General features: G+C 37.4%; 1 protein-coding gene and 1 long non-coding RNA gene across 43 annotated transcripts in view; one reads left to right on the forward strand and one right to left on the reverse strand.

The window, feature by feature from the left end:
* The window catches only part of CCDC7 (coiled-coil domain containing 7), a 439541-nt gene that overhangs the window by 306877 nt on the left and 118595 nt on the right, over nt 1–14069 (forward strand). The window lies entirely within an intron of this gene.
* Nucleotides 110–11817, reverse strand: LOC124902406 (uncharacterized). The gene is made up of 2 exons (XR_007062106.1): nt 11630–11817; nt 110–538 (listed from the first exon to the last, which is right to left on the reverse strand). It is a non-coding gene; the product is annotated as an uncharacterized LOC124902406 (long non-coding RNA).

Below are 14069 nucleotides of genomic sequence, written 5' to 3' on the forward strand. Positions count from 1 at the left end.
CATATTTTGTTTATTTTCATTGCTGTATGAAGGCACTACTGTTTGTTTATCCAGTCTGCTAGTTATGGGTATATAAGTCATGATCTTGTTGGAAAAGAGATAGCACAAATTGGGTTTCATTTGAGTTTAATAAAGTGACATACTCTTTACAAAGGAGGGGTGTCCAGCAAAAACATAAGGAAAACTTTAATAATCTCGAGGCAGAAAAAGTGGGATAATGTTACTACCCCTAACCTTGAAGAGGAAAGGAGAAGGAATGGTTATTGGAGACCTAGGTAAAAGAGAGCTCTATGGAGAGAGTAGTGTAATAAGAGGTAAGAGGTCTGGGAAAGGTACATGCCCACTGCTGTGATGCTGCAGGGAAGAAACCATGGAAATACATTCCTTGATCTCATTGTATTTCCTCCCTCTGATCTCCTGCCATGGTTCCACTGGCTGAATTCACCTGGAAGCCAGAGAGCAAGCAAGCCCATTGATTCACTCTTTGGAGGTTCACTCTTTGAAACATACAGTAACTGGAGAAAGTTGGAGAGTAAATCTGGAAGGTAAAATAAGAGATGTCTTCTCAGTTTACTTTGTTTGGCCTTCAATATTCTCACATTGTTTATCATTCAGGTGATGAAAATGTGTCTCCAACCCAAGAAACATTAAGCCCTATTAGAATCCATAATATTTCAGAGTAATTTCAACTGGGTCTTACTCCCATTTGTAACCTACAACATTCATTGTTCAGCATCAATGTTCTTTATATAAAGTGGCAGAGGATAAAAGGGGGTAGTGGTATAAGAAATAATTAATGGACAGAAATCATTGCCACAGTTGCCATTTCTATAACTAGTTATGAAGGCAATTAATTATAGCTACCTTCCTCCATTGCCCCTCCATGTTCTCACTAGTCTTTGCCTCCACCTTGGCTGCACAATATTTTTTTATCTGGTAAGGTAACCCAAACCTTTATTGTTATGAAAGCTGATACCTTAGTGGTTTTGTTAAATTTCTGCAGTCCTCTATTTATCTAGTATTTTGAGCAAGGGAGTATTTAAAGGTAGCCCAGTGAACCCCCAGGGATCAAAATTAGTCCTTCTTGCCTCCATTAATTAGGAGAAACTTACTTCTTTCCAATTATTGAGATCAAGCCAGTACCGAAACTTTTTTCTCTGTGTCGATTTATTTAATGGCATGGGATCCCAAATGCCAAGATGGCAGTCTCAGCTTCTAGTTTATTGGAAGCATGAATATTTGGTGGGAGCATTCTTCCTTTGAGCACCAGGAAGAATGCTTTTGCATGGAGCTTGCTTAATGAAAGTCATTGGGAAATCAAGTAAAAGTTCTTTAAGTGGGTTATTAAGGCATATGTGATATGAGATTGGTAGGCTATGGCATAGATAGGGCCATATATTGGCTTTCATTTTAAAGCATATATGATATCCTGTAAATCAAGACTGTAGCCTCTCAGGGTGTTTTCTATCAGAAGTCATAGTAACCAAGACTTCACCTAGCCATTTCACTGTTCCATCAGACTTGCTGCTTGTGGGTAATGGGGGCTTGTGCTGATACCAGTGAATTTTATAGGCATGAACTCATTATGACACATCAGTTGCATAAAACATGCCCCTGGTTAGAGATGATGTATAGGATACTATGGCAGTCGAAAAGATATTCTTCAAGTTTATGAACCACAATATTGGTAGAAGTTCTATCGGCAGAGAACGTGATTCAGTGCCTATAATAAATGCCTAACTCACTGAAGGCAGTTCGCTTGCCTCTGTATGATAGAAAATTTACAGTAGTCCATCTGCAACCAGATGTTTTGCTAATTCTTCTGGAAAATGATGCTATACTTGGAGGCTCAACTTTGGCCTACGCTTTTGACAATTTCAGCACTCAGCAGAGGCAATATCCATATTATTTTTGATAGGAAAAACCCTATACCATTAAGTTTATTCAAAAGCCAGTGTCACCGTGGCCTCTTGGTACTTAAGTCCATGGAATAAGCACTAATGTAGCTGAGGCATGAGGTTGACTAGTATTTATAGCCCTCTAATTGAGAGCTAACACTATGGTAAATGCCTTCCTATGCACATTTACATGGGGGATGGATAACTTTATACACTATCATCCTATTCTGGAAAATCATAGACAAAACTCCCCAAGACATGCCTGTCACCATTTTTTCAACCTTTTTCCCCCAAGTCTTCAACTGATTACCTGGCGAATTCCATTAGCTCCTGCCTACAAATCAATGTAAATCTAAATCTCAAACCATCTCTAGTCCCACGTATAGTGGAGTCTTAGTTGTACTCCTCAAATTTCTGTTCACAAGAAGGATTTCTTCTTGCTATTGTCTTTCAGGTCCCCCCTTTTGTGTGACTACAATACAGTGTCAAATAATGGCTTAATATATAAAATAGGACAAGCAGTCTAGTACAAAAATTGGGAAAAGATAGAAATAGGCCTGTGAAAAGTTTGCTTCTCAATGTTATTAGTGGGAGTATATAATGATTTAAAATACTCTTAATTATTTAAAAATATATCAATGATATTACATATCTGTACCCATAAGATTTCTGAAGTATTTCAATGTCTAGATTTTTCCTTAAGAGTTAGCACCTTCTCACTTACCTTGGTCTCAGACCCCTGTCCTTAACTTTCCATATTTGTTATTATGTAATTTTTTTTCCTGAGGTTTTTGAGTTGAATAAAGGAGAGGGATGACAACTTGTATTTAGTCCACTGACTTGTTCACATGTGCTAATTTTGTTACAACTTACAAGAGATTAATTGATGGTTATTCAGCTATGCAATTTAATATGGGAAATTACTAGCTTAATAAAATGAAGAAGGGAATATGTCATTTCTCAATATGTTTTACGTTTTTAGAGTAGATGTATTTTCTTTTCAATGTATTTCAAACATCTATTTTGTAGCTCTGAAGGTGGCTCAGATGATAGGTAAAAGTCTTTTGCCAATGGACTCAAAATCAGAAGATGAGCTTCAAATTAAGAAACATAAAATTGCCCAAGTGGAAACACATAGTGTGTAAAATATTAGCAAATAACCTTAAGTTATAGTCATATTCATATTCAGAAGAATAAGTTTGGAATGTGGTCATAAATAGATATTAAACAAACCAGTTTTGATTTTTATATCTGGACCCTTACAATAATAACAGCAAACATTTTCTTATTAATATTTATTGAGCCTTTATTATCAAATATTTAATAAATAATCCACAAAGAATTTCTATGAGGGAAATACTGAAATACTACTACTATTACTATTTAGGAGATGAGGAGAGTAAGACATGGAGTAACTGCCTAAAGTCACATCATTACAGATGGATTTCAAACCCGGATAATCTAGCTCTTTATTCTGTTGTGATCACTCCAGGAAAACTATAGGAAATCTTAGAAGAATCTGACTATATTTGGCTTTAAAGTATATAATGAGATAGTTTCCTTGAACCTCTCACGCAAACTCTTCTTTCGCTCTTGCTATTTCTTTTGCTACCATTTCTCTGTGGCTACCAGAAATTCTTAAATTACTCTTAGAACATGCAATTGTGTTACCTTAACAATTATGGTATGTTCCTCAATTTCAGATTTTTAAGTGACAAGAAATGTTGAAAATTGATTGAAAAAATGACATTTACATGTTTTCTTAATTGTTTATTTTTTCATAAATTTCGTTTTTTGTGAGTAGATATACATCTGTTCCTGATTTTTTTTAAACAATGAAACAAATGATTTTTTTAACGTGTTGGAGAAAATCTCTTACTAATATCCCAATACCATGTTTCATGATGAAATGAAATGTTCAATTAAAGTTAAAAATAAGATAAAATTCCTATTGCTGCTAAAGTAAGTATTGTTGTAAAATGTATAACCAATGTAATAAAAAAGAAAACCTGTTATTATAAATATTAGAAGAAATGATACAACACGATTATTACTTACAGATTATTAGATTTTGACTTTTAAAGCTTAAAAGAATCAAATAAAAGAAAATTTAATATCAGTATGATGTTCAGCAATGTGGCTAACACAAATTTGGCAAAGGAAAACAAAAACATTTCTATATATCCCAGTAGTGAAAAGAGCACAAAAATAATAAAATAACTGATAAATAAACACTAGGAAATATGTGGCCTCATATGATGGAAACAATGAACTTTAATGACTAAAGAAATGTTGACTACATAGGGAGATATTTCATGCTCATGAGTGAAAGACTCTTAAAAGTAATGGGTAAATAACTTACTTCCAATCAAAATACCAGTGGTTGATTATTGCTTTTGGTGTTGATGAAATTTTATAAATATGATTCTAAAACTTGGCAACAATAACATATTTCAGTATGAAAATAATTGATTAAAGAAAGAGGATAAGGCAGTGGCACTTGATCTAACTGCATATTAAAAAGCTGCATTATAAAATAATAAACATGAGGGAGGTTCCAAGAGGGCTGACTAGGAACAGCTCCAGTCTACAGCTCCCAGCATGAGCAACGCAGAAGATGGGTGATTTGTGCATTTTCAACTAAGTTAACGGGTTCCTCTCACTGGGGCTTGTAGGACAGTGGGTACAGCCCACAGAGTGTGAGCTGAAGCAGGGCGGGGCACTGCCTCACCCAGGAAGTGCAAGGGGTTAGGGAATTCCCTTTCCTAGAAAAGGGAAGCCGTGACAGATGGTACCTGGAAAATTGGGACACTCCCACCCTAATACTGCGCTTTTCCAATGGTCTTAGCAAACAGCACACCAGGAGATTATATCCCGCGCTGGCTTGGAGGGTCCCACACCCACAAAGCCTCACTCACTGCTAGCACGGCAGTCTGAGATTGAACTGCAAGGCAGCAGTGAGACTGGGGGAGGGGCATCCACCATTGCTGAGGCTTGAGTAGGTAAACAAAGCACCTGGGAAGCTAGAAATGGGTGGAGCCCACCACAGCTCAAGGAGGCTTGCCTGCCTCTGTAGACTCCACCTCTGGGGGCAGGGTAGAGCTGAACAAAAGGCAGCAGAAACTTCTGCAGACTTAAACGTCCCTGTCTGACAGCTTTGAAGAGAGTAGTGTTTCTCCCAGCATGGAGTTTGAGATCTGAGAATGGAGAAACTGCATCCTCAAGTGGGTCCCTGATACTCAAGTAGCCTAACTGGGAGATACCTCCCAGTAGGGGCCGACTGACACCTCATACAGCCAGTTGCCCCTCTGAGATGAAGCTTCCAGAGGAAGGATTAGGGAGTAACATTTGCTGTTCTGCAGCCTCTGCTGGTGATACCCAGGCAAATAGGATCTGCAGTGGACCTCAAGCAAACTCCAACAGACCTGCAGCTGAGGGTCTTGACTGTTAGAAGGAAAACTAACAAACAGAAAGGACATCCACACCAAAACCCCATCTGTATGTCACCAACATCAAAGACCAAAGTTAGATAAAACCACAAAGATGGGGAGAAACCAGAGCAGAAGAGCTGAAAATTCTAAAAATCAGACTGCCTCTTCTCCTCCAAAGGAATGCAGATCCTCGCAAGCAGCAGAACAAAGCTGGACGGAGAATGACTTTGACGAGTTGAGAGAAGAAGGCTTCAGACGATCAGTAATAACAAATTTCTCCGAGTCAAAGGAGGATATTCAAACCCATCACAAGAAGCTAAAAACCTTGAAAAAAGATGAGACGAATGGCTAACTAGAATAAACAGTGTAGAGAAGACCTTAAATGACGTGATGGAGCAGAAAACCATGGCACGAGAACTATGTGATACATGCACAAGCTTCAGTAGCCAATTCAATCAAGTGGAAGAAAGGGTATCAGTGATCGAAGATCAAATGAATGAAATGAAGCGAGAAGAGAAATTTAGAGAAAAAAGAATAAAAAGAAATGAACAAAGCCTCCAAGAAATATGGGACTATGGGAAAAGACCAAATCTACATCAGATTGTTGTACCTGAAAGTGACAGGGAGAATGGAACCAAGTTGGAAAACACTCTTCTGGATATTATCCAGGAGAATTTCCCCAACCTAGCAAGGCAGGCCAACATTCAAATTCAGGAAATACAGAGAACACCACAAAGATACTCCTCGAGAAGAGCAACTCCAAGACACATAATTGACAGATTCACCAAAGTTGAAATGAAGGACAAAAAGTTAAGGGCAGCCAGAGAGAAAGGTCGCGTTACCCACAAAGGGAAGGCCATCAGACTAACAGCGGATCTCTCCGCAGAAATTCTATAAGCCAGAAGAGAGTGGGGGCCAATATTCAACATTCTTAAAGAATTTTCAACCCAGAATTTCATATCCAGCCAAACTAAGCTTCATAAGTGAAGGAGAAATAAAATCCTTTACAGACAAGCAAATGCTGAGAGATTTTGTCACCACCAGGCCTGCCTTACAAGAGCTACTGAAGGAAGCACTAAACATGGAAAGGAACAACTGGTACCAGCCACTGGAAAAACATGCCAAATTGTAAAGACCATCGATGCTAGGAGGAAATTGCATCAATTAAAGAGCAAAGTAACCAGCTAACATCATAATTACAGGATCAAATTCACACATAACAGTATTAACCTTAAATGTAAATGGGCTAAATGCCCCAGTTAAAAGACACAGACTGGCAAATTGGATAGAGTCAAGATCCATCAGTGTGCTGTATTCAGGAGTCCCATCTCACGTGCAGAGACACACATAGGCTCAAAATAAAGGGATGGAGGAAGATCTGCCAAGCAAATGGAAAACAAAGAAAAAGCAGGAGTTGCAATCCTAGTCTCTGATAAAACAGACTTTAAACCAACAAAGATCAAAAGAGACAAAGAAGGCTGTTACATAAAGGTAAAGGGATCAATTCAACAAGAAGAGCTAACTATCCTAAATATATATGCACCCAATACAGGAGCACCCAGATTCATAAAGCAAGTCCTTAGAGACCTACAAAGAGACTTAGACTCCCACACAATAATAATGGGAGACTTTAACACCCCACTGTCAACATTAGACAGATCAATGAGACAGAAAGTTGACAAGGATATCCAGGAATTGAATTCAGCTCTGCACCAAGTGGACCTAATAGACATCTGCAGAAATCTCCCCCCGAAATCAACAGAATACACATTCTTCTCAGCAGCACATCACACTTATTCCAAAACTAACCACATAGTTGGAAGCAAAGCACTCCTCAGCAAATGTAAAAAAACAGAAATTATAACAAACTGTCTCTCAGACCACAGTGCAATCAAACCAGAACTCAGGATTAAGAAACTCACTCAAAACCGCCCAGCTACATGGAGGCTAAACAATCTGCTTCTGAATGACTACTGGGTACATAACAAAATGAAGGCAGAAATAAAGATGTTCTTTGAAACCAATGAAAACAAAGATACAACATACCAGAATCTGTGGGACACATTTAAGGCAGTGTGTAGAGGGAAACTTATAGCACTAAATGCCCACAAGAGAAAGGAGGAAAGATCTAAAATTGACACTCTAACATCACAATTAAAAGAACTAGAGAAGCAAGAGCAAACACATTCAAAAGCTAGCAGAAGGCCAAAAATAACTAAGATCAGAGCAGAACTGAAGGAGATAGAGACAGAAAAAACCCTTCAAAAAATCAATGAATCCAGGAGCTGTTTTATTTGAAAAGATCAACAAAATTGATAGACCACTAGCAAGACTAATAAAGAAGAAGAGAAGAATCAAATAGGTGCAATGAAAAATGATAAACGGGATATCACTACCAATCCCACAGAAATACAAAGTACCATCAGAGAATACTATAAACATCTCTACACAAATAAACTAGAAAATCTAGAAGAAATGAATAAATTCCTGGGCACATACACCCGCCCAAGACTAAACCAGGAAGAAGTTGAATCCCTGAATAGACCAGTAACAGGCTCTGAAATGGAGGCAATAATTAATAGCCTACCAACCAAAAAAAGTCCAGGACCAGATGGATTCACAACCGAATTCTACCAGAGGTACAAAAAGGGGCTGGGACCATTCCTTCTGAAACTATTCCAATGAATAGAAAAAGAGGGAATCCTCCCCAACTCATTTTATGAGGCCAGCAGCATACTGATACCAAAACCTGGCAGAGACACAACAAAAAAAGAGAATTTTAGACCAATATCCCTGATGAGCATTGATGCAAAAATCCTCAATGAAATACTGGCAATCCGAATCCAGCAGCACATCAAAAACTTATCCACCATGATCAAGTTGGCTTCATCCCTGCGATGGAAGGCTGGTTCAATATATAAAAATCAATAAAGTAATCCATCATATAAATAGAACCTAAGACAAAAACCACATGATTATCTCAATAGATATGGAAAAGGCCTTTGACAAAATTCAACACCCCTTCTTGCTAAAATCTCTCAATAAACTAGGTATTGATGGGACATATCTCAAAATAATGAGATATTTATGACAAACCCACAGCCAATATCATACTGAATGGGCAAAAACTGGAAGCATTCCCTTTGAAAACTGGCACAAGACAGGGATGCCCTCTTTCACCACTCCTATTCAACATAGTGTTGAAAGTTCTGGCCAGAGAAATCAGGCAGGAGAAGGAAATAAAGGGTATTCAATTAGGAAAAGAGGAAGTCAAATTATCCCTGTTTGCAGATGACATGATTGTATATTTAGAAAACCCTGTCATTTCAGCCCAAAATCTCCTTAAGCTGATAAGCAACTTCAGCAAAATCTCAGGATACAAAATCAGTGTGCAAAAATCACAAACATTCCTATACACCAATAGCAGACAGAGAGCCAAATCATGAGTGAACTCCCATTCACAATTGCTTCAAAGAGAATAAAATACCTAGGAATCCAACTTACAAGGGATGTGAAGGACCTCTTCAAGGAGAACTACAAACCACTGCTCAATGAAATAAAAGAGGACTCAAACAAATGGAAGAACATTCCATGCTCATGGATAGGAAGAATCAATATTGTGAAAATGGCCATACTGCCCAAGGTAATTTATAGATTCAATGCCATCCCCATCAAGCTACCAATGACTTTCTTCACAGAATTGGAGAAAACTACTTTAAAGTTCATATGGAACCAAAAAAGAGCCCGCATTGCCAAGTCAATCCTAAGCCAAAAGAACAAAGCTGGAGGCATCACGCTACCTGACTTCCAACTATACTACAAGGCTACAGTAACCAAAAGAGCATGGTACTGGTACCAAAACAGAGATATGGACCAATGGAATAGAATAGAGCCCTCAGAAATAATGCCACATATCTACAACTATCTGATCTTTGACAAACCTGAGAAAAACAAGAAATGGGGAAAGGATTCCCTATTTAATAAATGGTGCTGGGAAAACTGGCTAGCCATATGTAGAAAGCTGAAACTGGATCCCTTCCTTACACCTTATACAAAAATTAATTCAAGATGGATTAAAGACTTACATGGTAGACCTAATACCATAAAAACCCTAGAAGAAAACCTAGGCAATACCTTTCAGGACATAGGCATGGGCAAGGACTTCATGTCTAAAACACCAAAAGCAATGGCAACAAAAGGCAAAATTGACAAATGGGATCTAATTAAACTGAAGAGCTTCTGCACAGCAAAAGAAACTACCATCAGAGTGAACAGGCAACCTACAGAATGGGAGAAAATTTTTGCAACCTACTCTTCTGACAAAGGGCTAATATCCAGAATCTACAATGAACTCAAACAAATTTGCAAGAAAAAAACAAACAACCCCATCAAAAAGTGGGCGAAGGATATGAACAGACACTTCTCAAAAGAAGACATTTATGCAGCCAAAAAACACATGAAAAAATGCTCATCATCACTGGCCATCAGAGAAATGCAAATCAAAACCACAATGAGATACCATCTCACACCAGTTAGAATGGCTATCACTAAAAAGTCAGCAAACAACAGGTGCTAGAGAGGATGTGGAGAAATAGGAACACTTTTACACTGTTGGTGGGACTGTAAACTAGTTCAACCATTGTGGAAGTCAGTGTGGCGATTCCTCAGGGATCTAGAACTAGAAATACCATTTGACCCAGCCATCCCATTACTGGGTATATACCCAAAGGATTATAAATGATACTGCTATAAAGACACATGCACATGTATGTTTATTGTGGCACTATTCACAATAGCAAAGACTTGGAACCAACCCAAATGTCCAACAATGATAGACTGGATTAAGAAAATGTGGCACATATACACCATGGAATACTATGCAGCCATAAAAAATGATGAGTTCATGTCCTTTGTAGGGACATGGATGAAGCTGGAAACCATCATTCTCAGCAAACTATCGCAAGGATAAAAAACCAAACACCGCATATTCTCACTCATAGGTGGGAATTGAACAATGAGAACACTTGGACACAGGAAGGGGAACATCACACACTGGGGCCTGTTGTGGGGTGGGAGGATGAGGGAGGGATAGCATTAGGAGATGTACCTAATGCTAAATGATGAATTAATGGGTGCAGCACACCAACATGGCACATGTATACATATGTAACAAACCTGCACGTTGTGCACATGTACCCTAAACCTTAAAGTATAATAATAATAAAATTAAAAAAAAAAGATATTACAAAAAAAAAGAACACCCAAAGCAAGATGGCTCCGGAAGGTTCAAAATAAAAATTATCACCCCACCCTGCACACACAAGACAAATTGAAATGGAAAGTAAATAGAAGATAGAAGTATGCCTTCACCTTAATTCTGACTTCCTCAACATATATTTTCAGCTGAACTATGAGAGAAGACCCCAAATTGTGTGCTAGTCATGGTGATATTCAGTATATTTAACAACTGGTATGGCAATATATTAATAATGTAACGTATGAATTCAGAAATGGAAGTAATTGTATTTTATTCTCTAAAAGTAACTATTATGGCACTCCCAATCATTGTGAGTTTCAGGCTATAATAAATTCACTAGACAAAACAGACTTTAAACTAATACTACATTTATTTGGCTTCTTAACATAATACAGAAGAGGGAATACAGAAAGCACAGTGTCTCTCTCACTGGGGCACCCAGCAGTTACCACATACCTTGTTTCTTTTGTTCTTTTCACCTATATTGACCATGTGCAGCTACTAATAAAGGAATAAAAGGGTATATGGTACTTGATACAGAACAAAGAGAGCACTGATACCGTGGCATCATATGGCAATAGGACACAAAATATCACCACTGGATACTCCTAATCAAATACTTAAAAATAGCAGGTTTCTGAGTGACCATGTCTTTGATACCTTAACATACTTTTGCCAAAGTAATGAGTGTAATGAGATTAGCTGGTTACTCTTATTATGTTAGACAAAGTGGGGAAAGAAAAGTATGAGCTTGGAATTCAGATTTCCAGCCCAAGAGCCACATAATGACCTAAAACTTTCTATGACTACCCTGAAAGAAACCCTGGTCTGCTATAGCTACAAATTGCTGAAAACTAGCTCAGATTGCTGAAAACCATATCCAGAGTCTCATCCTGTGAGTGGCTGAATTATAATGCAAGTTGAATTCCCAATTTTATAGGATATCTTCTGTTAAAATGAGAGCATCGATTAGGATAGAACAAAATCCTAAAAACTGGAATGAGGAAATATGGGAAGATCCTAATGAAGCTAGGGATGTTTACCTCTAAACTCTGCTGGGTCCTCCTTGCCTTTGGAAGCAGAATTTGTAGAGACTGATGTCAGCAACATGGTGGAATAGGAGGTTCCTTACTTTTCTCTCTCCCACAGATGCAGAGAATAAACATTTCCACATGGATCAATTCTCTCTGAGAGCCAGAAAGTGGTTGAGCGACTCCTACACATTGGGAAACTGAAAAAATATCCACATATTGGGTAGGGAAAGCAAAGACTCATGCACAAACTGCATCCTAAGCACAGTGTCATACAATTGGGAAATAATCCACAACTGATAACTTCTTCCTGAGGAATAAAGGGTTTGGACCACATATAGTGTTCCGCAACATTTACAGTTTCTGTCAGAAGGTTTGGCTCTTAAATCACCTACTTCAGGGAGTGGAGGGAACTTGGAAGTCATGAGTTTGCCTGGAGAAGAGAGAACAAACAGATGGTTTTGAATGAGTGTGCGAGCACTTCTCATGGCTAGCTATAGGTCCCCAGAATCTAGTTTATTCCTGGAAGTGGTTTGTTGGCACACTCTTCCAGAAGCTGCCTGATATATATATAATAAATATATATATACTACCCAGAGTCACATAGATTCAACACAGTGCTTATCAATATTCCAATTACATTTTTAGAGAAACAGAAAACAAAAATTCTATAACTTCTATGGAATCACAAAAGACATCAAGTAGCCAAAACAGTCTTTAAAAAGAAAAACAAAGTTGCAGGCATCACACTTTCTGGTTTCAAATTGTATTACAAAGTGATTTTAAAATATAAAAATATTTTAAAAATATTTTTAAAAAACAACTATGGTACTGGTATAAAAACAGATGTACAAACTGATGGAAGAGAATAGATGACCCAGAAATAAACCCAAGCATTTATGTCAATTAATTTTTCACAAGAGCATCAAGAAGACACAATGGGAGAATGACCATCTCTTTAACAAATAGTGTTGGGAAATTTGAATACTCAAACGCAAAATAATGAAACTGGAACTTATTTTATAACATTCACAAAAATAAACTTAAAATGGATTGAAGACCTAAACATAATACCTTTAACTATAAAACTCTTGAAGAAAACATAAGGGAAAAACTTCTTGATATTGATCTTGGCAATAATTTTTAGATAGCTCACCAAGAGCACAGGACACAAAAGCAAAAGTATACAAGTGGAAGTATAATAAAACTAAAAATTTTCTGGACAAAGGAAATAATGCAGAAAATGAAAAGAGAGCCAACAGATTCAGAGAAAACATTCGTGAATCATATATTGTTAGGTAAGCAGTTGATATTCAAAATATGTAAGGAACTCACAAACTTAACAGCAAAATGACAATAATAAAAGTCTGACAAAAATGGGCAAAGAACCTAAATAGACATTTTTTGAAATGAAACATACAAATGGTCAACAGGCATATGAAAAGATGCTCAACATCACTAATCATCAGGGAAATCCAAATAAAAACCATGAGTTATCATCACACACCTATTAGGATGGCTATCATCAAAAACATAACATATGTTGGTGAGGTTATGGAGAAACAGAATCCTTACATACTGTTCAGGTGGTGAAAAACAATAGGGAGTTTCTTTAAAAAATTAAAAATAGAATTACCATATAACCCAGCAATTCCCCTTCTGGGTACATACGCAAAGGAAATGAAATAAATACCTAGTAAAGATATCTGCATCCCCGTGTCCATGTAACAGTACTCACAATAACCAAGATATGAAAACAACGTGTCTGTCAGTGGATGTATCGATAAAGAAATTGTGGTGTTCTCATACAATGGAATAGTATTCTTCCTTTTAAAAAGGAGATACTACCATTCTCAACAACATGAATGAACCTGGAAGACATGCTAAGTGAAATAAGCCAGGCACATAAAGAAAAATTCTACATGATCTCACATATATGTTGAATCTAAAAAGTCATATTCATAGAAGTGGAAGGTAAAATGGTGGTTACCTGAGGCTGAGGGAAGGGGGACAAATGGGGAGATGTTACAAAAGGGCACAAAATTTCAGTTAGATAGGAGTATTAATTTCTGGACAGCTACTGTATAGCATGGTCATTATAGTTAATATTCTGTATACTTGAAAATTGCTAAGAGAGTAGACTTTATTCTCACTATAAAAAGGGATATGTGAGGTGATAGATATATTAATTAACTTGATTTAATCATTCTGCAATGTATACATATATCAAAACACCACTCATACCCCATAAATATATACAATAAAAAGACAGAAGCAGCCTTTTCATTCCTGTCAGAAGAAATTAATCTTGCTTTGTCCGAAGAAACTATAATTGCCTCCCTTGAGATAGTTACCTTGCAAAACACTTCTGATTCTCCCCAAGACTCACCCCCACCACCCTCTTTTGCTTGTAGACCTATAATTAGACACAAGTCCCACCAGCCCCCTAAAG

The sequence above is a fragment of the Homo sapiens genome, chromosome 10, assembly GCF_000001405.40.
Source record: "Homo sapiens chromosome 10, GRCh38.p14 Primary Assembly".
NCBI classification, from domain to species: domain Eukaryota; kingdom Metazoa; phylum Chordata; class Mammalia; order Primates; family Hominidae; genus Homo; species Homo sapiens.